Genomic DNA, 26,341 nt, shown 5'->3' with positions numbered 1-26,341 from the left:
TTAATTTTAGATCTTGGTAGAAAATAAGCCTGTTTAAATATTCCTTCCCTTTTCCATTCTAGATTCTTTTACTGATACTCTTCCTCAAGTCAAATTTTCTTTTTTGTGGAAAGTAATACACTATTTGTAACCTACCAAAAACCATTACTTTATTTACTCAAGTTGTGACCAACTTTCCAGACATTAAGCAGTCATATATGTGAAAAATGTCAGTACCAATAAAGTTAAAAATCACCTCTTACCTACTATCAGATAATCCTGTTTCGTATTTGTACTGCTGAATTAGATTATCTAAATTTCTGCACAGTTGTAGTGTCACAGAAACAACCACTCTCTGCAGAACTTTTCCCATGTAAGGCAGAGTAGATGTGATTAAACCAATCCATTGTGGGTGCATCTTACATGCACAGTGCTGATGCAAAGCTCGTATCACTGCACAGAGGAACATGCCTTGACATGTGATTGGCTGAGCATGCAAATACTGAAGAGAAGTCATGGGTTGATGGGGACTGATGTGTTCTAAGTCAGATACAACAAAATCAAAACCTGTTTCATTCTCTTCAGGAATAGTCATTACTCTGTGTTCTAGAACAATCAGCCTCTGAAGCACCTTAAGAAGTTGTGACTGCAACGTGCTGCCATTGTCAAATTCATCCTCTGAGAAATTAATAAGGCTGTCCTCTGAGAAACCTTCTTCCACAGCAACCAGGTTCTTACCTGCCATTTTTTCACTATGCCATTTCTGAGCACTAAAGATAGATGACAGCAAACAATGAAGAATCACTTTCTGAACTTTGCACTTAGATAACATATCAGAAATAAAACTAGGGAAACCCTTCGCTGAGCTTTCTATTACTTTTGCCAGCTCAGTGAAGAGTAGTGTCAGAATTTCTATGCTCATCATTTGCATGTTTCGATTGCCTATTAAATCTTGTGCAGTAACCTTGACATGAGTTGGGTAATGGCTACGCATGTAATATAAGCAGAGAGAAATAAGAATTTCTATGTACATAGAACTCCGGAAGTTATGATTTGAGTCCACTGGAATGTGACTATAAAAATCTTTGCCCATAACAGAAATCCGGTGTCTGGCCAATAGATTCTGAAGGAGAGACAACTGAGGAGTATATGCATTATTTACACTAGTAGTTGAAATGGCATTTACAAAAGCTATAGGGTTAGTTTTCAAGATGGCTTTGATGGCAGAGAAAGCATACAAAGTCCTGGATGAATCATACAACTGGAGATACAGGAGCACATGTTGATAGAGAGGATGAATGTTGAAATTGGGAGATTTTCGAGATCCTGGAGAACCCATGTCACTCTCAATTTCAGAAATGTCTCCCTCTCCACAGCTATACCAGTTCTCTAAATCCAGACCATCACTGAAGAATACACTGGTTTGTTTGAGTTTTTCATTTGAAGATTTTTTCTTGTCATCATCCTTTTTTCTGGCAAGTTTTACTTTAGGTTTTGCTCCTGGTTGTTTACCTGACTCCTTAACTATTGTTTCCTTCTCCGAAACTTTTTCTGATAATTTTTCTTTGAAGCTGAATTGAATACTACTGTGACTCCTTTGTCTAGATTTGGTTTCTATGGAAGCAACAGAAGAGTCATGAAGAGTGTGTGTGGTTCCTGAAATACAAGGTGAGGAGCTATTCCTGGAGATTCCATTTGCCACACACTCATGGCCTCCCTCTGCAGACACAGACAGAAACTGAGAACTTTCATTACTCAGCAAAGCATTCTGACTCTGTTGAATGGAGTCATCTTCAATTTTAATCGTCTCTTCATCTGGATCTATATCACTGCACTTTGGGGGCATAGCTTCAATTTCTAATTGAGATGTAACTGATGCAGATTCCACTTCGAGGCCACTTACAACTTTACATATCAGGTCAAATACTACCTGTTGAACATCATCATCTGGGGAGCTTTCCTTGGGCATTTGAGAATCCTCTTGGGCATTCACGGTTTCAGGATCAACTTCGTAACTCAAGTTGTCCCCAGCAGAGGACTGTGAACATCCCGAGTCAGAACTCTGAAGTATTTCTATCTGTTGGTCTGGAAGATCAAAATCAGACACAACCATTGGAATTGTCTCACTGCTGGTACTTAGGAGGGAAAGTCTGTCACTTAATGGATTCACAGTGAGACTAAAGTTCTCTATTTCATCCATGGTAAGTGGCTTTTCACCATTTCCTTTTGATGTGATGAGTTGTACTTGGCTCACTGATATATGAGAAAAACAGTAAAAGAAGAAAAATACAAAATGCATTAAAATAATTGAAATGTAGAAATGTAGACTGATCAAAATTTTTAATCATTAGTGTCATCATCTACTTATATTTTCCTAAAATTACATTTTATTTTATTGCAGGTGAAAGTTTTGTTTTTTCCTCCTTAATACCTCACTTTAGTTATGCTGTTTCTAAGCTCTCTAAAGACTTTAAAATTAGCAGCAAACCACAAATACATAATTCATTTCTGTATTTTTTAGGGGGCATACAATAATGACGGTCTTCTTTTAGAAAAGGTGGAAGGCTTAGTGACATACAAAGTAGTACATACCAAATGCTAGCAAATTTAGGGAAAGAATCATGATACCATTGATGAGGTCTGGCACTGATCTCAGAGGGGAGGTGAGAATTCAGCAGACAGTTAGATAAAGCATTAACACAAAGACATTCTGGCAATAAGCAGGGTAATGCAAATTCTTACAAGATTCAGAAGAAGGAATAGAAAAGAAGCCAGAGAGAGGAACCAAGACTCTGTAGAAACACACTAGAGATGAAGTAGGACTATGACAGTTTGGTTTCAGCTTCATCACTTAATAGCCATGAGACTCTGAGAAAGCCATAGCCTTCTAGGCATCAGCAACCTGCTCAGTAAAATGATCTTTTCATTACCACCACAGGGTTTGTCAAGAGACAAATGACATATGTGAGAGTCTTTGTCCCTTAAATGAAATAAATTAATCTAAGGGGACAATATCACTGTATAGAAGGCATCACTCAACTATAAAGTATGGACTTTGTAGTAATATAGTAATAGTGAATATTTAGGCATGTCACAAACATGACTACATCTGATGGTCATAATAAAACCTTGAAAGTTGAGCATTATTCTTCTCTTAAAAGATGAGGAAAATGACTCATGAAATACAAAATGTGCATTACAGATTTACTATAAATTCCCAATGAAGTATCTACAGAGCCTGTAGGACCAGAATTGCTAACTAAGCTCTAAAGATATTTCCATCAAAATTGAAGAATGTCTCTAATCAGAGCTGTGCCTGATTCCTGCCCTGAAAGAGTCAACTGAGAGACCCACATCCTCTAAGATGGTCATTGACAAAGTACATTCTGACATGGTCCACACAGCATTGCTAGTGCATGAGGAGGGGAGAAAATAAGCCCATGGAGAAAATCTCACATGCAGTTCTTTCAACAATTACTGTTGTATTCATGTATCACTTTATTTTAATAATTCTAAATAAAGCTGTCTACTTCTATGTGTTATTCACCATTGCTGCAGGCAAAATTTTGCATGAAATGCTTGTCACTCTCCTCTCCTGGATAACAGGGAGACTTATTCCAATAACGTTCTGCTTGTACACGCTGTACTGAAACCCTCTGAGTTTTTGGATGAAGCAGGAGCAATAGCAATGGTTCCAAAACTCGTGCAATATCATGTCTTTGTAGGACTTGGTTCAGCCAGGCTTGTCCCACAGAGCTAGTAGAACCATCGAGACTGTTAAGGCTATCTAACATGATGAACAGTGACCTAAAATAAACACAAATAATTAAAATAAAGAACCAAACATCTACCTTGTCACACTCTTTTATAAAATTAATAAATTCTGTTTCTTATTTTGAATTAACTATTTTGAAGTAGTCATACTTCAGGATAAATTTTGATCATAGTATTTTAATAATCTTAATCCCAATAGTCTCGGTGGGTATAAGAAAGGAAAAAAACCTTTTGCCCTTTTAAAAATATACTCATGCTTTGAAATTTCACAGGCATACATTACTAAGATTAATACTGAAGAACTGAAAAAAAATATGATTAGTCTTGTTTTAGCAACATTTTCCTGTTCATATTATCAAGCACTGAGCCTTCGGCAAGTCGGCATTACTCCATGTTGGTCCATGTTCCTCTGCTCACACTCTCCTTGTGAGCCAAAGCTCTGTGCTTAATTCAAGGAAAGATCTGTGGAAGGTATGAAAGTGTGGTTTGGAATCAGAAAAACCCAAGATTCAAATATTTTGTGTGGTGTTGGGCAAGTAACAACTTTTCCTGACCTCTATTCCCTCACTTGTAAAATTAGGAAAGATGGTTGTCAAATAAGAGATGATTATTTATAAAGTAAAGGTTCAATATATTCAGTACATTGTAGGGGTTCAATATATGGTTCAGTATCAGATGACTTAAAATGCTAATGCTGGTTGAAAAGCACCAGCTGAAATAACGTTCAGTAGAGGACACATCTGATCCTGAGCTGACCTTGAACATAGATTCATGGCCACCAGTATGAGACCAACTGGTGAGACTACCTTATGACAATATATGAATCCACCTAAAAATGGCAGCTCCTTGGAATTTAATGCAGATCTGATATTTGAAGTCACCTACGTAGTCCAGACAAAAACCAAAACCACTCTCAGGCAGCTACAAGTTCTCTGGATTCATGGAAAGAATCTGTTAGTGTTTTCAGCTATAGATTTTAATAAATCTAGTTTAGGCAGAAGATTGAAAATAATTGCTTGAGAAACACATAATCTACTATCTATATGCAGTTTCACTAAATGTGAATATAGTCTCAAGAGAGCTGTATCCATTGCTCTATCACTAACATTATCAGGAACGTGATGAATAGTTGTCCAAGGAAGGGAAGTGGAGCCGGGTACTCCAAAACCAGAAAGTAAAAACCTGGTGGATGAGTAAAAATGCCATGCATTTTAATACAGCTTACGGTTTTCAAAATAATAAATTCTCTTTATAAAATTTGTAAATTGCTATCTCCTACACTTGCCAAGCTAGACAGTGGACTCAAGGAAAGAGGCAACATTAAGATATATGACTGTGAAATCTTAATATAAAATGTAACTGACCTGTCAAAAGAACGTACAAAAGATGAAGATTTATTTATATGGAGATCTCTCGTTAGATGCCAAAGAACTGCAAACTTGGCATGTGCTTCCATCCTTATTTTCTGAGGAGAAACATGGGAGCTTAAATTATGTTCTTCTCTCTTGAAGATACTATGATTTTAGTAAAATCAGAGTACTATTTAGGAGTACTGTATTACGTTCAACGTCCACAATATTCAAACACACATTGCAATAAACTTTATTTATATTCTTTATGGCAGTAGAAACACAGAAAATATGTAAATATATACAGAAATATTGAACTTAAAAGGATCATCTCATCCTGTCTCATAAATAATTATTCCTGAGTTCAGACTTTAAGTAATTAGTTTACTATATTATTGTATAACAGGAGAAAAAAGTTACTAATGTACATATATCTGGAGTCCAGAAAGCACTTCCTCCTTCATTTTAATATAAACATTTAGTTATCAAAATTGATTTCATTGCACTATATATTTTTTGTCCCAGAAATGATACATTAATCCCAAATGAGTTTTTCATCACTTATAAAGCTGGTTTGACTCAAAAATTTAAATACTTAAAAATAATTTTTACAATAAAAATATTAAACTACTTTTGAGATTATTTGGAAAAAGATTAATATAATAATGGGTAAAACAATGTAAAAATAAATTATTTAGATAGGCAAGCACATTTGGTATTAGATAATAAACATGTATAAATCAAGTAGAAATTGTCACACTATCAAAATTTTTAAAGTCTTTCTTTAGCATTTATGGATCCTTCAAGCAAAAGCCCCAAGAAACCAGACGGCAACTTTCTAAATGCTTGTGATAGGTGGGAGGCATGCTTGTTTTTTCTATGGGCTTAATACAGGCTTTTCTTATGAAGCCTGCATTTGTATCAACCACCAGAAATGTAAAAATTAAGTAGTAAAAGATATTTTAATTTTTTTTCATGGATGTGTATCTTTATTTAGAACTTGGGAGTATTTCTTTAAAAATGAAATGCTACCCAAGTGAAAACAGGCATATATTTGTCCTAGATTTATATTTAATGTGAAACTTAAATTGTTAGAATACAGTGCTTACCTATTATTTTTGAATAATTTTGAAAAAATATGTTATAGCAGAAATAGAATTTTAACATTTTTCTTGGAATAAACTTTTCATTCCTTTCATTTACTCCTTCATATACTACTTTCTCCTCTACCAAATGTTTCATTTATTTAACACAATTCCTTTTTTGATTATGACCCACTCAAACTCACTAGCATTTTGAGTTTTTTAAAAATAGGACAATCTACTTCTAAAAGCTCTTCAATAAAATCTTCAATTTATATTACAGAGCAGCACAGGAAGACCACAAATGTCATTAAATAACCCTGATGAGGTTAGTAAAAATGATTATTCCAGCTTCTTCTCAGGCTAATTCTCAGCCACCTTTAACTGAATTATATATCACACTTCATATACATTAGGATACAAAATTCTTATTTTGGATATGCAGTATAATAATACAAATAATATAATCTCACATATTAGCATTCTATGGCTTATAAATATACTTTATACATTATTTCATTTCATATATATTAGTTAATAAATCCGTAAGTTCCATAACTGAGGCCTCTGGTTCCTCTTTAAATGACCCAAGAACTGAGACCACCAATACTAAACATCAGTTCCCATAACTGTGTCTTGAACAAAGAAATAAACCCAGCATTTTATTTTTGTTTTAATTTTTCATATTACTGATGCTTTTGTAAAGAACTTTCCTCTAGAAATAATTGAATACATTTATTTTAAAGATATTAAGATCACTGTGAACAAAGCTATTTTCTCTTACTCCGATGTTAATTGCAATAATTTCCCTAAAGTTTTCTTACTTTTCAGTATTTGTGTGTGTGTGTGTGTGTGGCGGAGGGGGCGGTGTGCACAAGATAAGAGGATTTACCTTATCTTTATGGGTTAACTGCTGACTTATAACATCCTCACAGATGCTAGAAGAAGGAACTAAGTTATGTAATTGATAAAATAGTTCCACACTCTTCTGGTGATGCTGAGGTGTCCCATCTCCCAACTGGTCCCACAATGTTAAAGCTACATGCTATAAAAAAGATGTAAAAGTGACAGTCACAATACCATACATGAAAATTTAACAAATATTTCCTATTAGGTACAAATGAATGCCTGCTCTCTGTCAGACCTGAAAGGCTTTTAATATTCTACTGCATGGGGATGAGGTTACTAAGGCAGTCTTCCATGTACCTACCTTCTGATCACCCAAGCCCTTGGAACCTTTTATGATAGTCCTTTAATGATATTTGTTTTCAGACATCAGGCGTTGTCTGAACATGGTGGCTCATGGCTGTAATCCCAGCATCTTGGGAGGCCGAGGCAGGCAGATCACCTGAGGTCAGGAGTTTGAGACCAGCCTGGCCAACGTGGCGAAACCTTGTCTCTACTAAAAATACAAAAAGTTAGCCAGGCATGGTGGCATGCACCTGTAATCCCAGCTACTCGGGAGGCTGAGACACGAGAATTGCTTGAACCCGAAAAGCGCAAGTTGTAGTGAGCAGAGATTGCGCGACAGAACGAGACTCCATCTCGAAAAAAAAAAAATCAGACATGTAAATGTTTTCTGCAGGGCCCAGATAAGACCCCATTTCGTTATTTAGTGGTGTTTAGTAAAGTGATGCTAGAATAAACTATCCTTAATAAGATACAAATCCCACATTGAATGCAATTTAATATTTATGGTTGTATATTACAGAGTGAAAAATAATTCATAGTTGAAATATCCAAACTACTTAAAACCTATACAATAGATAATAGGTATTTCAGAGCTACATATGTTAACATAGCACTTGATCTGTAACAGCATTAATAATAATGCAATGAGTAATAATAATAATGCAATAATCTTCAGGATTCACTACCACAATATTATAGAATCCAACTCTAATCTAGCAGGAGGAAATATCTGAAGGGGCACAATGACTTGAAATCAGATTTTTAAACTTTTTTTTAATGTACAGTCTACCTGCTTAAGATGTATACAATCCAAATCTACTTGATGTTCGATATAGAGAATAATATTTATACCAGTGTGGTAGAAATCAAAGACTGAGTTTTCTGAATTTTTTTCTGAGTGACTTTATACGCCACAGATGATAATGAGACAATATGAAGAGTCAGAAAAAGTTTTCATGAGAGTTTTGGAGTGCTGAGGTTTTACTGTATGAAAAGCAAAAGTGTTGCTCACACCTGTAATCTCAGCACTTTGGGAGGCTGAGGCGGGCAGATTACTGAGGTCGGGAGTTTGAGACCAGCCTGGCCAACATGGTGAAACCCTGTCTCTACTAAAAATACAAAAATTAGCTGGGCGTGGTGGCACACGCCTGTAATCCCAGCTACTCGGGAGGCTGAGGCAGGAGAATTGCTTGAGACCAGGAGGCAGAAGTTGCAGTGAGCCGAGATCATGCCACTGCACTCCAGCCTATCTGACAGCAAGACCGTCTCAAAAAAAAAAAGAAAAGCAAAAGTGTTGCAACCACTTAATCTGAAAGTAAGTTCTACCGCTTTCCTCTTTCTAGCTGAAATTATTTCCTACATGGCTTCAGTGCCCTAATACTTCTCTTTCTTTATCCTAATATTCCTACTCCTTTATCCTTATCTTTCTCCCCTGCTCACAAAATTGGGAATAAGATGGGGAGAGCAGTATGTATATCAGCTGTGGCATCATTTTCTACATGGTATGGCCTATTAAGAGGTGTTTAAATGAAGCTTTATTAACATTTAAAAAATAATTCTTAAAGCAAACTAGGTCAAGTATCATACATGGCTGTAATCATCATAGTCATATATGCATTTCTTAGAATTTACCTTGAAAAATTCAGTCTTCTCAGCTATGTACCTCAGATTGCCCTGAGTGAGGGGAGGTCTAATAACCACAGCTACTCTTCCCTGGTTTGGACTTAAGGGTTGTGCAGGCTCTACACTGTTGATGTTTTCCCCAGTGACCATGGCCACAGACTGTGTCAGTCCCACCAGGTCCATAACTAGTGAAATAGCAACACTCTGAACACTGAAATCACTTGCTTGGCTGCAAGCATTCATCAGAGTCTGGAGCCACTGTGGAGGCTGCACATGCTCACAGTCTGAAACAAAAGATGGTAGCAATCAGAGTTCATTATACTAAACATTTCACACACACTCTAAGTTAATTTCAAAAAACAAAGCCACTAAATACTTTTAAGGCCTTGATCTGTTAACAAAACCATGGTTTCTCACCTAGTCTAGAGCTTTAATAAAGTAGCAACAAGAATTTCTTATACTTTTTTCAATATATATTTTTCTTATGCCAAGTCATACAATCTAGTTTTCTGTCCCGAAAAACAGTATATTGATCAATAAGCATTATGTAGTATTCACTGCACTTTGTGTGTATATATAAAAATCAAAATAAAGGTAAATACATATGTTACTGGTCATAACAAAGAAAACCAGCAGATCTACTGCTACTTTTCTCCAGAGATTTCCTTTTCAGCTCCTACTTATCTGCATGCAAACTGTGAAAGACATCAAAATCACAAAATCTTCCAATATATCAATCTCCCCATAGTGACAGTATTTCATTTTTAAAAAAACTTGCAAATTAAAACATTAAAAAAAGTAACTGGCTAAAAAAACCCCAGTTTTGAGTGCCTCTTTTAAAAAGAAAAAACATACTACAGACAATACTGAAATATAAGCAAAACTGAGATGACCTTACCAGTCTCCAATTTTTCAGAACGTAACTCTGATGTATGGTTCCCCTCAGCAATGTAAACTGGGAAACTTGAGCACTCTAGGAAGAGCTGACAGGCAGCAAGGAAGGCAGACAGGTATTCTTTAGAAGTTTTTTGTTTACTTATGTTTTTCTCTTTTACATCTCCTTGTGAATTTCTGTCCCATTTTGAAGTCTCTCCTTGTTCTCGACCAAGATCCCCTTGATGTTCTGTAGCCAAAGACTGAGAAAAAGAGTTATTCTGAATGATGTAGAGGTTGATAAGTCTGGTAAGAAACTGTTGGACATACTCCAAGCAGCACTGCATTGCAGTCTTTTGGGCTGTCTTCCTACTTCGGGTTGCTGTCCCCTGAGTGACTACGGAAGGGGTCTGGATGATGGTTTCTTCAGATCCCACAGTGGATGCTGTTTCTGTCTCAGAGGATGTGCTACCAATTGGGATGGCAGCTGCCCCCTGGCCCTCACTCAGTTCTCTGTCAATATCATCAGTTCGGTCTGCTTGATATTGTATAAACTCAGTGAATCCACTCTCTGATGATCGACTACTTGGTGGATTTTCTCCATCTTCAAACACTTCAGTAGGATTTTCATGAGAAACTGATGATACCTGTTAGAGATTTTTAAGAAAACAAAAGGCTGAGTAGCAAAGTGTACATATTAGGAATTAGAAATGACCACTTTTGAGATGTTTTAGACTATTCACAACTTAATCTGCCCATTCTGTTGACTCTTAAAGCAGCCCCACACTGATTTATTCATTCACCAAGTATTTACTATGCACTACACACACAGCATACATAAGGTTAGATTCTTGAGGACAAAAATACATATATACAAGTCTCTAGGATCTATATCCTTGTTTTCAAATGACTATTTCATCTACTTCATGAAATCACTTTCCTAATGTCTAAACAATGCCAAGAATGAGATATGTAAGGTTAAAAAATGACATTTTAATAACTACAAATAAAATCTAATAGGTCATCTGTTCAGGGCCACATGAATGTGAAATTTTTATTGAAATGTGTATAGTACTAATTAAATCTTTGCTATTAATCTTACTTTCTTTCAGTGAATAGTTACTGAACTCCTATCATGTGCCAGACACTGTATTAGGTAGTAGAAATAAAAGGAATATTTTATAATCTAGAGGGGAAGATGAGAGAATTACAGTAAACAAACAAATGAACCATTCCTGGAGTAGAACTGGAGTATATTAGCCTTTTACTCCCTACAATAGGATAGAGTAAGTATAAATATCAAGCATATTTTCTGGCTTAGTTTAAGTAAAAGTTATATGTAAGAATTCCTTGGGTGACTGAGTCAGAATATAATAGCATCATGAACTAAAGCCCTGTTGCCCAAAGCTGGGCTTCACGCAATGTTCCTTGCCTCAGTGAATGACACTTTTCCTTGAGTCAGGAAGACAGAAACCTAGGGGTCATTCTTGGTACCTTCGTCACCCCTCCTCCCCTTCCCCACTTTCATATCAGTAGAGGGGTTAAGGGTGCAGGCCTTGAGTCAACTAGGGCTCTGCCATTCACTAGTTATGTGATACCTGGCAAGTTATTTAACTTCTCCAAACCACCATTTCCTAATGTGTATAATTGAGAGACAGTAATTCCTACATTTTACAATTGCTATGAGGATTACATAACGGTATATATAAAGCACATGGCAAAATAACTAGCACTTAGTAAACACTCATTAAGTGTTAGTGATCATTACCCTTATCAATCTATTACTAAGTCTATTTTTCCTCCTAAATATATTGCTAATCCATCCATTTCTATTTTTACTCCTCGTATCTTGTTGGCACAAGTTATCACCACCTCTCACCTGCGCTACTATAGGTCTTCCCACATCTGTTTTTGTTTCTCCTCTACATTTCATACTGCAGCCAGAGTAACTTTTCTAATATACAAACGTAATTATGCCATTTGCCTTTTCCCCTTCAGGGCCTTCCCGGTGCTCCTAAACAACAAAAGCCCTCGAACAGCTCAAGGCCCTCTAAGACCTGGCCTCTGCCTATCTTATAGCTGCATCTCTTGTCTGCTTGGTGCTCGTCTCTGCCTAAGAGCCTTTGCAAAATCATAGCTGAGAAAATTATGACAGTGAAAGATATCAAACCTAACTGACCTCATCTTCTATCCTCTCCACTGTCCTTGTTCATTCCTGGGTATAGGCTGAACTAGCCTTGGGAAGGAATTTAGTTTATAGTTTAAAGCTAAACTGTTCTTGTAAAACAAATGAAAGGCCACCAGCCACCAGGTTAGAATGAGAAGGACTGGAATTCTAAATATTACGAGCCATTATTCCAGAAGTCATAAGATTTGCAACTTCCCCAATTACTCTTGTAGGTAACATCACTATGTGAACCTAAGATCAGCCTTTTGATATGTCTTTTCGGGTTTTTGCATTTCTAACAACTGAGTGGTCCCACCTGGACCTGCCAACCAGTTCTATGTTCCCCACCCAGGAACTGACTCAGCATAAAAAAGCAGCTTCTACTCCCTATGATTTCATCCCCGAGCCAACCAATCAGCACTCCCAATTCACTGGCCCCCTACCCACCAAATTATCCTTAAAAACTCTGATCCCTAAGTTTTCGGTGAGACTGATTTGGGCAATAATAAAACTGCAGTCTCCTACACAGCCGGCTGTCCATAAATTACTGTTTCTCCATTGCAATTCCTCTGACTTGATAATTTGGCTCTGTCTAGGCAGCAGGCAAGGTGAACTCACTGGGCTGTTATACTTCTTCCTCTGTCAGGTGCTCTCTTTTTACCTCCCTCACCACACCAATTCCTCTAAGGCTTCACTCAAACACGTCTTCCTCAAGAAAGCGTTCTTTAGCCCCAGCGTAGGTCAGGTCACCCCATTTTCCATATTCCTACCACTTGATTATTTTCCTTTGTACACTTATCACAACTGTAATTAAATGTGCACTTACTTGTATAATATCTTTCTTCCAATTAGAAAGGAAGGATAGAGAAGGGCAGAGACTATGTTTAGCTCACCACTGGATAGCCAGCAACTAGCATAGTGATAGCAGCAGGAGACAGACAAATCCTAGGCAGCCAGGGACGGGTCCCCGGTGAAACCCCACCTTCAAGCCAAAGACAGTTTAAAGCCTAGCTACAAGTCCTGGATAAATCCACAGACCAGATTGAGAACCTCTCCTCCCATTTGGCATGCTTTCCTCTGATTGATCCCCACTCTTCACCTATTTTACATATACCTACCCTTCCCTAATTGGTTATTTATACTGTTGTGGCTCACCTTTGAGTGGTGCCTTTGTTTTAGCCTCTTTTGTATACTCACAAACCAATCAGCACGAAGATGTGCTGTAAGTGTAAAATGCACACTAGATCTTGAAGAGAGTACAAAAAAATCATGTAAGCTACCTCACTTATTTATATGACATCAATTTTATATAGATTACATTGAAATAATATATTGGCTACAATTGTCCAAATAAACTAGAATTAAAATTAACTTTACCTGCTTTTTACTTTAATGTGGGTACTAGAAAATTGAATTACATATGCCATTCACATGATACTTCTACTGGAAAGTACTGATAAAGATAATTAAACTGCCCTATAACCAAAAGCCTACAAGCCTACTAACACTGCATTTGGATCTAGGAAAGACTCACTATTATTTAAATGCTTATGTATAAGTGATTTTACTAAGTAACTGTTCTGCTTTGAAGAAATATGAACAGTCTAATACCAAAAATAATAGTTAAAATTACCTTTTTGTCTTCCCACTCTTTGACTGAATTGTTCTGCCCACTTGGAAACTGCAAAACACCTCCAGTGCTAGCAGATAACAGTGGAGGCTGAACCTTGCTAAGGATCTTTGAGCAGAGTCTGAGAGAATCTGTGAGTTCAGATAAGTGCAATGTCTGGAGATGGCTTGTCAAGGCAGAAATCATTCTGAGCAGCAACTGGGGCAAGTGTTCTGTCTGGATTTCAATGTAAGTCTCCTGAAAATAAAAGTGAAATGAAAAAAGTTTAAACAATGTGGAACCCAAAAGTTACATTTTTTAATCTATATAAATAGGCAATGATTTTACTCATCCATAATGTTTTATATGCATCATGCTCTTAATTAACACTGTATATTTTATTACTGATGCCTTATAAAATTTCTATTCCCAAATTCTCAATTTAAATACTTCAAAGCATATATTATAAAATAACCCCAGTTTTATCTGCTACATTACTAAAATTATAATATAACAAAAGTAAATAGAATCATTTAAAAACAAAACAGGCTGAATGTCATACCTGACACAGCACCCTCATACTTCTAGTAGGCTTCAAAATGAGAAAGCAAAGAAGTGAGGAGAGAAAACAGAAGGGAAAAGATTTCCAAAAGTCTTCATTTAATAGAAATAATATTAATATAAATGCAGCATTAGACCACTATACACTAAACAGTTAAGATTTTATAACATGCAATTATGAAGTTTACTCCATGTATTTTTTATATGTATATGTCAAAGGACAAACACTTGAAAGATCTTATGAAAAAAGCTTACCAAAGAGGAAAAAATCAATTTAATTTTAAAGATGAAATGTATCTGAAGGCTTGCCTACAACACGAAATATTTGAACTACGTTATTCGATTTCCTTGATATTTTCTTACCAAGGTGGTCTTACCAAAGAAACTATGTCCAACAAAAAATCCACCAGTAAGCAGAAATTGGTCAGCTGTAATTCAGATGAGTCATTACTATCTCCAGGTCCAATCTGAAGTCTCACATGCAGTGTCCTCCTAAAAGGACAAAATTCACTTTATTAAGTATACTGTCAAGTGATGTGAATACCTGTGACAGCATCATCATCCTTCTAATGAAGTCCAAGTCAATATTGGGTCACACACAGTAATGTTTTTGTGATGACATATTTTATTTCCCCCAGGCCACTGTACCTCTTCATGGAAAATTCTCAAAGCAAGATTCCTAGGCTGATCCTCTCCCTGTAACTCCCATCCTGTACTTCGAAGTGTTCTGAATGGATCTCACTTTCTGGGACTTATTTCCCATTGCTTCCTGTATAGATATCACCTCCTAGTTAACAGTGATTAACTGCTACTTGATTTCTAACCTTGGGTCTTAAAATAGGCTCATTTGTCCTTCTGTACTACTGTCCTCCCCAATCTCATTTTCCCATGATCAGAATGCATCTGTCCTTCAAAGTCTGAGATCAAATGTTACCTCCTCCAGGAAGCCTCTTCTGATCCAAGTAGTAGAGATCATTCCTCCAACAAACATTCACATTAAATCATAGAAATCCTATATGACCATACATTGCCCTCCACTCTGAAGACACAAAGTAAGAATATAATATAGTCCCTGACCAACAAGAATATAAGCATGTAGACAAATAAAAGCAACAATGTGACAGTGTGGAGGCATTGATTCTGATAGGCTATTTGAGGAAAGGAAGGAAAGGTGGGTAACCTCTACATAGGATTTTAGCAGATAGGCAAGGGGAAAGAGTATTTCAGAAGGAATAGCACAAGTGAAGCCTCAGCAGAATGAAAGTTAAAATGCTGCTAACTTTCAGAGAATAGTCCAGGTTGGCTGAAGAAGTGTGGATGTGTGCATTTGTGAATGTAGAAGGTAAAAACCCAGGGTAGGGCCAGGCGGCAAAAAAATACGATTCCTACATTTTAATCTATTAAGACATTTGTAATTTTTAATACTAGGAATATACGCGTGCATGTCTTATTTGTTCCCACTATAAGATCTTTGAAGACAGGGACTGTCTATCTGCCTAGCATGATGCTTTTTAACTGGGTGCTCAACCTCTGCTGAATAAGCTAGGAACTTTCTAAACCACTAAAGAGATTAATGTGTAGGAGCAACAATTAACATTTTTTATTAAAAGACTTCTAATGCTGAAATCGTACATAATTACATTTTGACTACATGCTCCTGGGCCTTGAGTGGTTAATCTGGTTGAGAGGATCTGGTCTAGAAGCCAGACAGAGATTCCACTCAGATTCACTAGTATCCTAGGGTTTTCAGACCATATTTTTTGCTTTATTTGCTAAGGGGTAGAAGGCTTTTATCACTTCCCAGTGACAGCATGGATTAGTTCTAATGGCTTTAAAAACACAAGTCAGGCCAAAAAGTTTTTTGTTAATCAAAGTGGAAATCCTTTTGGAAAAGTGTGCTGAGGCAGCAGCCAAAAATTTGCTATCTTTTCTACAACAAAAAAACTGGATTACTATAGACTGAAGACGGAAAATTTTTAATCTACTCTGGTGTATGAATAACTGATCTCTAAACTCCCTTCCAATTCTAAGATTATATGATCAATGATTTTATATCCTATGTGACAAGGTAGAGTCAGATTATGGATAGTAAGTAACAGTTATTATTAGTAATAGAATGTATAAAAGAACATTCATTAAATGTAACAACTTAAAAAAAACCCAAAGGTTAGCTTTAGATGTTACGAAATTAAAAGGAATGAAAGTTTAACATACCTACAACATTCTTCAAACCAGCGTGCAACATAATCCCACATATAATAAGGTTCGAAGGAATTAAAGAGAAGGTTAGCAGTTTTAATCAGCTCTGCTGTTTTCTTATTTTCTCTTAATTTACTGAAAAAAGAGAAAAGAAAACAAAAACTAAAAAATATTAACATTTGTTTTTTCAAATTTAAATTTGAGTGCAGTGCCAGTACATATTCCTAGGTAGTTGCTAGAAAATGTGCTAGTAAGAAGATTGCAACAAATAATTTTTATCTACTGCCACTCTCCTATCATTTTATGGGCAGTTATTTTTTCAAATTTGAATTTTTGTCAAACATCAAGATCAGAAATGAGACTTGCACAGTTTCTGCATAATAAAAAAGACAAAAGAACAAGAATTTCTTTTTGAACTATTTAGTGTGTGGGACTGTAAATTTGGCAAAATTCTTTTATTTCCCTTGGCACATACAAACTGAGTAGTGATTTGATTTTCACAGCCTTGATTGTGAAGAATTTTGTCTGCTTCCCTGTGCTATTCAGGATTTTCTTAAGAAAGGTTTACCTTGACCAGTTTCAATCAAATTATTATTCTTAGTTTGAAAAACAACAACAACAAAACCAACTAGTGCTGTTAATAGCCACTATTACTGAAATTGCATCAGGGAAAAAGAACTTTGTTATTTCAAGTGGCAACCCTTTAGCCTATTACCTATTTCCTCCTCCTGTCTTTTGTAACAATTAAAACAATTGTCTTTATATAGTGAGGCACTGTCAATACAACTAGTATGTCAGTATTAAATCAGCTTTACTAGTATTAAATCAGCTTTACTTATTAGAACACAAACTTCATAGAGTAGGATCCCAAGTTATTACACTTCAAGTTTATATTAAGTGAATACATATTATGTCTTCATGTCACATTTAATTTTTTGATAATCCACCTGCTTAACTGAGCATGATCCTTGCTGAAGGGTGGTTCAGTTTGAAGATCCAACTCTGCTTTGCATTGAGAATATAATGTTCTAAACACTTCAATCAGGACATCTTCTAGAATTACAGGTCCTAAAATTAATATTCAAATTAAAGACAGTAATTAATCAGCATGAGCAAATCATGCTTATCTGAAAATTGGCCCAATGAAACAATGTTTTAAAAACAAGTATTTTTAAAATAGTATTTCTTCAGAAGCTAAGCTAAATTCACACTTCTTTGAGAAGGTAATATAAGATATTACATAACTGAACAAATATTTAAAGTGCAGGTTGACACAATAGAAATTACAGAATCAGAGAAATTGGTTTTGCCAGTTAATAGTTCTGTTACATTAGACAAGTTATTTAACTTCTTTGAGCTTTAGTTTCCTCATCCAGAATGAGGATAATACCAAAATTTACAGGACTGTTAAGGGTTAGAAAAAATATTTGTAAGATGGGTAGCATAGTTTCTAGAATATAATAAGTATTCAACAAAAGCTACTTGTAATTACTGCTATTAATTTAAATAATACTAAAATGCATAAGGCTAAATTTTCTTGCTATTACAGATTTCCTTAAAAAAATTCCTGAGCTTCATCTGTTACCATAACAGCTAAAACACCTCTCAAGACCATTTATATAATTCAAGTTATTCTTATATTTTAAATTTTTCATGTTTAAAAAATGGTGAGAAGACACCTGCTAAAACATCTGTATATAATTTGAAGAAATTACATACTTTATGATTTCATTTTATTGCTGTAAATATTTATGTTTTTTACTAATTTCTGTCTCAAGTGCCATAATATATAAGAAATATACAATGGATAAAGAGAGAACATGCAAAATAAAGGGAATGTGGAGAAGAAAGCTGAGGGATATAACTCAAATATTTTCCTCAAGTCCTTGGATTCTGTGAACTATAAATTGCTCATGATGGATTAATGTTTTAATTTCAGTAATACAATCAGGATTAAGAGAAGCTTAGATAGCATCTTTAAAGGGATTCTTCTGCTACATACATACCACAAGACAGATACATAATAACGTATCAGGTGGATGAATACCTGTATCTTAACTTTGTAGAGTGAACTTTAAGAAATTGTTGAGAACTTATATTTAAAGGCCACCTCAAAATATAACAATTTCCCTGATGACTCTTTTTATTTTCTTATTAACACAAAAGTACCACACATGACCTTATGCCCTAGGACAGTATACATTACCTAGCTCAGGTTTGTCCAGTAAACTGATTAAAATGCGAAAAGGCTTTAGATCCTGCATTAGAGTGTTCTCTTCTCCAAATCCATTCACTTGTAAGATTCCCACCATTGCCTTTAAAAAAGGAAAGTACACTGGTCATTTAAGTAAACATATTCAAATATTTTTTCCTTAAGAAAAAGTATTTTTAAATGCAACCATATATAACGGAGACTTATACCCACTATTGCTTTTCTGAAGCCTTTTCACCAACCTTGGCCTTCTTACTCTGCTAGGAAAAAAATATTATTTATCTATCTTGAGAAAAAAAGTGTCTAAATTTTCTTTAGACATAGTGGAATATCAAAGAAAATTTAGAAAAATATATTCATGAGCTGAGTGTTTTCCCTACAGATGAATTTCTATTTAAGATCATTCTTCTCAGAACTATGCCACATTATCATGGCAGTGTCTGCTATTAGGCAATTATTTTCCCGTTAGTGACTTAACAACTATATTCTTATAACCTCACTCATTTAAAAATGCTTCAGATACCATGTATTTTCTTCTATTTCAAATATCTTAAATAAATATAATTGAATTAAAAATAATATGAAATAAACTTCTCCAGAGCTTCACAGGAAATAGCACAGGTCCTGACTCATTTTTGGAAAAGCTCCAACTTCCATTGAGCAGACAGGTGAGAAGCTACAACTATGTTTTAATAAAGTAATGAAAACAACAAAGTAAGAGAAAAAAAGTCTTTTGTCTTACATGGTAGTCTAACATATGATTATCATTTTACAGGAATTTTCTTGTTATAAAAATTCTTGGGAAGTTTGTAAGTCTTGTCTCCACCCCTTCAACTGTGAATTCAATTAAGGCAAGACCTCGTCTTACACTTTTTCACTACCTCTAGTGGTCAGTAAGTAACCAAAGAATAATAAAAGTATTCATTACCTGGACTAATAATTCTTTTGAAAAGGTAGTGAAATAGTAAGTGGCATGTTCTTCAGGATTACTGTGTCTTGTGCTTCTGGGTCCTATGATAGCACCGTTGTTATCAAAACCTCCATGGAAACAAATCACAAAATTACTTAAAATGGAATTCTCAAAACTGTTGTTCACTAAATACCAAAACAGCAAAATCTCAGAACAGCACTAAACACTTACCAATTAGTAGCCCATTCAATGTCAGCAAGAGAGATCATTTTAGATAGTTTAATAAAGGGAAACCAATTCAATACATAAGTATCATAGTATTCTTCCAGAATTATCCTTTTTATTTTTTGGCCAATTTTACTAACAGTGAAATAACTGAATACTCAGAACATCCACAATAAGTTATATTATGTCCCCTCACTCTAGGCAGTAAAGAGTTGTGAAGACAGACAAAACACACAAAAAGCATGGACGACCAAAGTGTACATATGTATTACTGCCTGAGTGGGACACTGTATGATGTGTAAGACAATGGTACTAGTCCTGATTCCTTTGATGAATTCAAAGTTTTGGACAGTATTTTGATTATTAGCTCATCCTTCTTTGCCTACTAACTTATATACAACCATCTCAATTTGTAAGGGGAAAAACATCTTGTTAAGGACAAGGGAACATGACTTTATGAATTCAAATAGACTCTTCAAATATAAAGCTGCTGAAATTTCTTCATACAATACACAACTAATACTGTTTATATTTTTATTGTCCATTTACACAAGAGATTTTAGTTTTTAAATTCAGGACATACATACAACTTGGTAATACTTATACATGACAAATCTCCCTCCATTTTTTCCCCAATCATGACCACAGACATCAAATACCTACCAAGAAGCCATGCATAAAGTCTTCGATTCAGAGACATATCCCTCCTTAGCACTACATGAAGGGCTGCTGACAAGATCCTGATCATATCCGGTCGAGTGGCCTGAAAGAGTTAGGAATATGGTTGTACTTAGCAATATACAATATATATTATTTTTTTCCTCTTTAAAAAATGCCCTGAAATATGCTTAGAATATTAGGGTGTATGGAGTACTTTCATGGATTATTTCAAACACAGGATATTACTTCCATTTTACAGATTAGGAAACAGGAAGAAAGTTAGGTAACATGGCTATTTAGCTGCATAACTGAAACTATAACTTAATTATTTTAACTTACAGTTTAAAGTTCTTTGTCTATATAATAAAAGCAAATTCTGACATAAAACAAATAAAATGAAGCAAGATGGGACAGACACAAGAAAATGATATGCCATTAGTCTTTCACATTTATAACGTTGTCAACTGACTATAAACTCCTGAGAAGGTTACTATCTTCATCCACTCTTTATTCTTTTTAAAAATTTTTATCTTGTAGTATTTTAAACATATCAAAAAATACAGAAAACAAAATAATAAACCGTTTTCTACCAATCATCCAGCTTTAACAATCTTAATTTTTCTCTCATTTTGTTCCATTTCTTTTTAAGAGAAATAATTTTTTTCTTTTTTCCCAATATCCTTAATTCAACGTTTAAAAAAATGATTAAAGGAGATCTGGGTTTTAGCTAAAAGAGGTAAATTTATAAAAATCAAAATAGAAGAAAAGCAACTAACTTGCTATTAATTTTAAGAATACTGCCAGATAATCACTTTACAATATAATCTTGGAATCTGAGAATTAGATGATAATGTGGAAACTGACTAGTTTAACAACCACTCTATAAGTAAAGAATCTAAACCTCACAGGTTCTTGAGGTTTTGGCTAAGTGCTTAGCCAAATTCAAATGCCTGGTTAGTGCCCCAGCTAGATGGAGAACTCACTTCTCCTTAATCACAGACCAGTGAACTTTGTCCTATATCATGCTTCTTGATAGAATTAGAAAGGATTTACCCAGCTCATTTGTGTTAAAGGAACCTTAGAGAAATAACTGAGATGATACAGAACACAGATCACCAACAATTGACGAATTAGGTTCACTCCTTTGAACACAAATGCCTTCTATTGATCTGTACAATTCTGAAAGTATGGTTCAAGACCCCTAGGTATCTCTAAGACTTTTTCAGGGGGTGCACAAAGTAAAAACCAGCTATTCATATTCATAACAAATAAAACTATGCATATTCATAACAATACAAAGATGTTATTGGGCTTTTTGTTTTGTTGACATATGCCCTGATCATGCAATAGTGGATAAAACTGCTGGCACCTTAGCATGAAAAGAGGCAGCATAGCAGCTGCACCTACTATACTTGTAATCATTATATTTTCACAGCCATGTACTTGCAGTAAAATCAAAAAATAAGTATCAACCTTTGAGTGCATGTCTTTTAATATTCTGTATAATAGAGTGAAAGATTCACTTAAAGTATTTCTGATGTGGCCGGGCACCGTGACTCACACCTGTAATCCCAGCACTTTGGGAGGCCAAGGCAGGCGGATCACAAGGTCAGGAGATCTAGACCATCCTGGCTAACATGGTGAAACCCCATCTCTACTAAAATTACAAAAAATTAGCTGGGCACGGTGGTTGGCGCCTGTAGTCCCAGCTACTCAGGAGGCTGAGGCAGGAGAATCACTCGAACCCTGGAGGCAGAGGTTGCAGTGAGCTAAGATAGCACCACTGCACTCCAGCCTAGGTGACAGAGAAAGACTCTGTCTCAAAATAAAATAAAATAAAATAAAATAAAATAAAATAAAATAAAATAAAAAAGTACTAAAATTACTTCTGATGTATACTGAAGTATGATAGTTGTCTTAAGGAAAAGCAATTGTATAACTGAGTTGTGAGCTTAACTACCAGCTTTCTCAAAGAATGCCATTTTTACCCGAAGAATTACTAATATGAATTATGATTATTCAGGCCTGGACATTTTGTAGTCATTTCCTCAAAGTGAGCCTGACATTGCAAGGAAAATAACATTAATCGTGACAAATAATAAAAGTTGGGCTTCTAGGAGAAAAGTAGAATTATGGAAAACTTGCATTTAGACTGAAACTGTATTTTTTGGATTTTTTTTAAGTTGGAGTCTCACTCTGTCGCCCAGGATGGAGTGCAGTGTTGCAATCTTGGCTCACTGCAACCTCTGCCTCCCAGGTTCAAGTGATTCTCCTGCCTCAGCCTCCAGAGTAGCTGGGGTTACAGGCATGTGCCACCATGCCGAGCTAATTTTTGTATTTTTATTAGAGCATGGGGTTTCACCATGTTGGCCAGGCTGGTCTTGAACTCCTGACCTCAAGTGATCTGCTTGCCTAGGCCTCCCAAAGTGCTGGAATTACAGGTGTGAGCCACCGCATCTGGCTGAAATTGTATTGTTTTGATTTGAATTGGTTGAAAGCTTCTCAATACTGGGCTTAAAAGTTTCTCCCAATATCTAAAAATCTTTACTGATGAGATCAGTGGCAATAGTAATAAACATGATTGGTATTGTACAATAAAATGTGAAAACATTTGGAAAATCTGCATAATTCAATAAACCAGTATTTCCTTAATATCCAATCATGAAGTTACAAAAGCACATATGACTGAAAGAGCCACTGAAAGTACAAGATAGACCAGTGGATTTTAGTGGAATAGAATATGAAAAGTTCATTGATGTGGTTTAAGACTTAATATTGTAACTAATTTTTAAAATCTACAGCTTCGAAGTTTTGGTATAATATCAAAGAATATGTAATTTTAACGGAAAATGCTACTGAAATACTCCTCGATTTTCCAACTACATATCAATGTGAGATCAGATTTTCTTCATATACTTTAACCAAAAGAACAAATCACAATAGATGATCTAACCAATACAAGCAAAAGATTTTTGAGGACCTTCTGTACTTTTAAAGAGTGTAATGGGGTTCTACAACTAAAACATTTGAGAACTTCTGATCTATCCAACATAAGATATGAAGATTATATTGTCACAAAATCTTTAAAAGTACAAATGTCTCCCCATCTTATTTTGGGAGAAAAACTACTTAAGAAAGCAGAAAGTAGAAGATGTTAGTCAAAGGATAAAAAATTTCAGATGGGAAAAATAAGTTCAAAAAGATCTACGGTACAACACGGTAACTATAGTTGTTAGCAATGTATTGTATTCTCTTTTTCTTTTTTTTGAGACAGAGTCTTGCTCTGTCGCCAGGCTGGAGTGCAGTGGCACGATCACTTGCTCACTGCAAGCTCCCCCTCCCGGGTTCACGCCATTCTCCTGCCTCAGCCTCCCGAGTAGCTGGGACTACAGGCGCCCGCCACCATGCCCTGCTAATTTTTTTTGTATTTTTAGTAGAGACGGGGTTTCACCGTGTTAGCCAGGATGGTCTCGATCTCCTGACCTCGTAATCCGCTTGCCTCGGCCTCCCAAAGTGCTGGGATTACAGGCGTGAGCCACCACACCCGGCCACAATGTATTGTATTCTTAAAAACTGCTCAGAGTACATTTTAAGTGTTCTCACTGTAAAAATTAATTGTGTGAGGTAATGAATGTTAATTAGCTCCATTTACAGATTCCAGAATGTATACATATTTCAAACATCATGTTGTACAGGATCAATATATACAATTCATGTCCATTAAAAAATAAATTTAAAAAAGAAGTTGCTTCTTGATTACAATTGATATCACCATCTATTTCTAATATGAAAAAAAGTCTATTATAATCTCAAAGGTGTAAGTACTACAGATTTGGGTGAGCTTTCCAGGAAACAAGTTAAAGAAGTGTAGCAGTCCATCCCACTGCTGAAGTTCCTAACAACTATCATCCTTTTGGGATATGGTAATGAAGGCACTGTTAAGTCACAATTATAATACAATCCATACTTGGATTGTATTCTATTATATGTAAGACATAGAAAGAGGGAAAGTGGAACACTAAGGTACCTACGTCATAATCCTTATTCAGTTTGGTACAGTAATAGGGAGAACTATATTAGAATTTGGTAGCATAGTGGGGAGAAAAGTATTAGAATTATAAGATTATTAGAACTGGGTGTATACTTTTAAAAAACACATTCAACGAAGCTATTGTTTCCATAATACATATTATAGAATATAAGAATCTAGAACATTTTGGCTGGCAGGAATACAGAAAAGGCAGAGTAAGAAAGTACAGGCTGAGAAAAGCTTAGGAAACGCTGATATATTAAGATTACAAATTAAGTTATTCTTGAGTCTACTATGACTTAATTCCTCAGATCTTGTTGAGACATCTGTCAATTGAGGGCCTAATGATGTTGAATGTTTGGAAAGTAAGAAAGCAATGGGAAAAGTTCAAGAGGAAAGTCAATAAATTTTTTGGATAAAGATCCAGACAGTACATAATTTAGACTTTCAGATCACATACATTGCTTTGGCATATTCTTCTTTGTTTTCTAAGTGTTTAAAAAAACATAAATCTTTCTTAACTTATGAGCTGCTGTTTGGCCATCCCTATAATAGAGCATTGGTAAATTTAGATTACGCTGAGATGACTCAACAGTTGTTTTTGTGAAAAGCCAGAGGGCAGAATAAAGTCCCTTGGTTGAAGGGTGAAAGTCTCAAAATAGAAACAGAGTGGTTTATGTTCCAATTAGTCAAAGTATAGACAAGGAAGAGTAGAATTATTTAGTTATTAATATTTCAATATCAAATTAAATAAGTAAAAGAAAAATGTTAATAAAATAATGAATAAAAAATTGGCCAGTCATAATGCAAATTCACTACAGTTATCTATTAATCACAGTTCTTATGAAAACCTCAAATAATAGTCCTTTTTAGGAATAAATTTACTTTTCCAAGGTAGATATTCTCTATATCTTATTACTTTTGTTAGGTATGTAGTTCCACCATTCTGAATGCCTATATACTGGTGCTGTAAATCACTCTTCATCAAGGTTTATAAGTCAAAGGAATTTAGATCCTTTCTTTTAAAATGAGGGCACTGATTAAATTAAGTTCTAGGAATGAACTTCATTTATTATTTGTCAACTTAGTTGCACTTATTTGTAATAAAAGTACTATAGAATATCACAGTGGCTAAACATGTGGCTCTTAAGTTATAGTCAACTCTGCCAAGGGTCTGGCATGCATGTTAAAATCACCAAAACAAGATAACATAACACCAGTACAGATGATGGCTGGGTCTCAGTCTTGGCTTACTCAGAGTTAGCAATAGAGAACCTCTTGCTTTTTATATGTTACAACTTTTTTCAAAAGTATGAAATAATCTACTTCAATGACCATATTCTTATCAAATCAGTGAAGCTTTTATCTTTAGTTTTTTTTCACAACAAATTCCACTCCTTAAGAAGGAACTTATTTTCCATGCGCTTACTGATTTATACAAGAAGAATTCAACACACATGCCTTTAAAAAATAACTACACATTATCAATCTACAGTTTTCCAAGAATGCCTTATAATAACATCGGCGTTAATATTTTACCTGACTCATGTGGAATGGAAAACAGAAGAGTATGAGGTCCAGTGTGCTTCTCTGTACAAGTACACTTGAGTCCTGCACTGAAGTACTTACTGCTTCTACCTGAAATAACAGCATCTTTAACATCTATTGTCTATTATGCTGAGACATTTTTGCCACGAAAATGTGACAACTCTTTATTTTCTCGAAAGTATGCTTCTGAGGATCTAATCAATAATTAAAGATATTTACATTATTTTGAATAGTATATATATAATGATGGTTTAAAAATTAAGAAGTACGTAAGACTATACAGCAAAACTTCCAACTATCCAACTTCTGTTTTGTAGGCACCAGTTTTACTAGTGAATATTTCCTGTAA

General features: G+C 35.2%; 1 protein-coding gene across 50 annotated transcripts in view; it reads right to left on the bottom strand.

Annotated features, from left to right (window-relative positions):
• The window catches only part of DOP1A (DOP1 leucine zipper like protein A), a 103,680-nt gene that overhangs the window by 31,946 nt on the left and 45,393 nt on the right, over window positions 1-26,341 (bottom strand). For 15 of the 50 annotated variants that reach the window (XM_017010559.2, XM_017010564.2, XM_017010572.2 and 12 more), the window contains 15 exons: window positions 25,984-26,082; window positions 20,418-20,517; window positions 19,548-19,657; window positions 18,614-18,722; window positions 17,355-17,475; window positions 16,423-16,542; window positions 14,586-14,700; window positions 14,210-14,239; window positions 13,672-13,905; window positions 9,897-10,518; window positions 9,008-9,282; window positions 7,077-7,229; window positions 5,118-5,218; window positions 3,527-3,786; window positions 243-2,232 (listed from right to left, as the gene is read on the bottom strand). In XM_017010559.2, the coding sequence (XP_016866048.1) occupies window positions 243-2,232; window positions 3,527-3,786; window positions 5,118-5,218; window positions 7,077-7,229; window positions 9,008-9,282; window positions 9,897-10,518; window positions 13,672-13,905; window positions 14,210-14,239; window positions 14,586-14,700; window positions 16,423-16,542; window positions 17,355-17,475; window positions 18,614-18,722; window positions 19,548-19,657; window positions 20,418-20,517; window positions 25,984-26,082 (4,439 nt within the window). Of the gene's footprint in view, window positions 1-242; window positions 2,233-3,526; window positions 3,787-5,117; window positions 5,219-7,076; window positions 7,230-9,007; window positions 9,283-9,896; window positions 10,519-13,671; window positions 13,906-14,209; window positions 14,240-14,585; window positions 14,701-15,142; window positions 15,248-16,422; window positions 16,543-17,354; window positions 17,476-18,613; window positions 18,723-19,547; window positions 19,658-20,417; window positions 20,518-25,983; window positions 26,083-26,341 lie in introns of all 50 variants that reach the window. The other 35 variants (XM_011535619.3, XM_047418434.1, XM_047418430.1 and 32 more) reach the window with 6 other exon arrangements.

This window comes from Homo sapiens, chromosome 6 (genome assembly GCF_000001405.40).
Source record: "Homo sapiens chromosome 6, GRCh38.p14 Primary Assembly".
Taxonomy (NCBI): Eukaryota; Metazoa; Chordata; class Mammalia; order Primates; family Hominidae; genus Homo; species Homo sapiens.
Note: the sequence above shows the minus strand (reverse complement) of the source record. Positions and strands in the feature narration are given on the sequence as shown.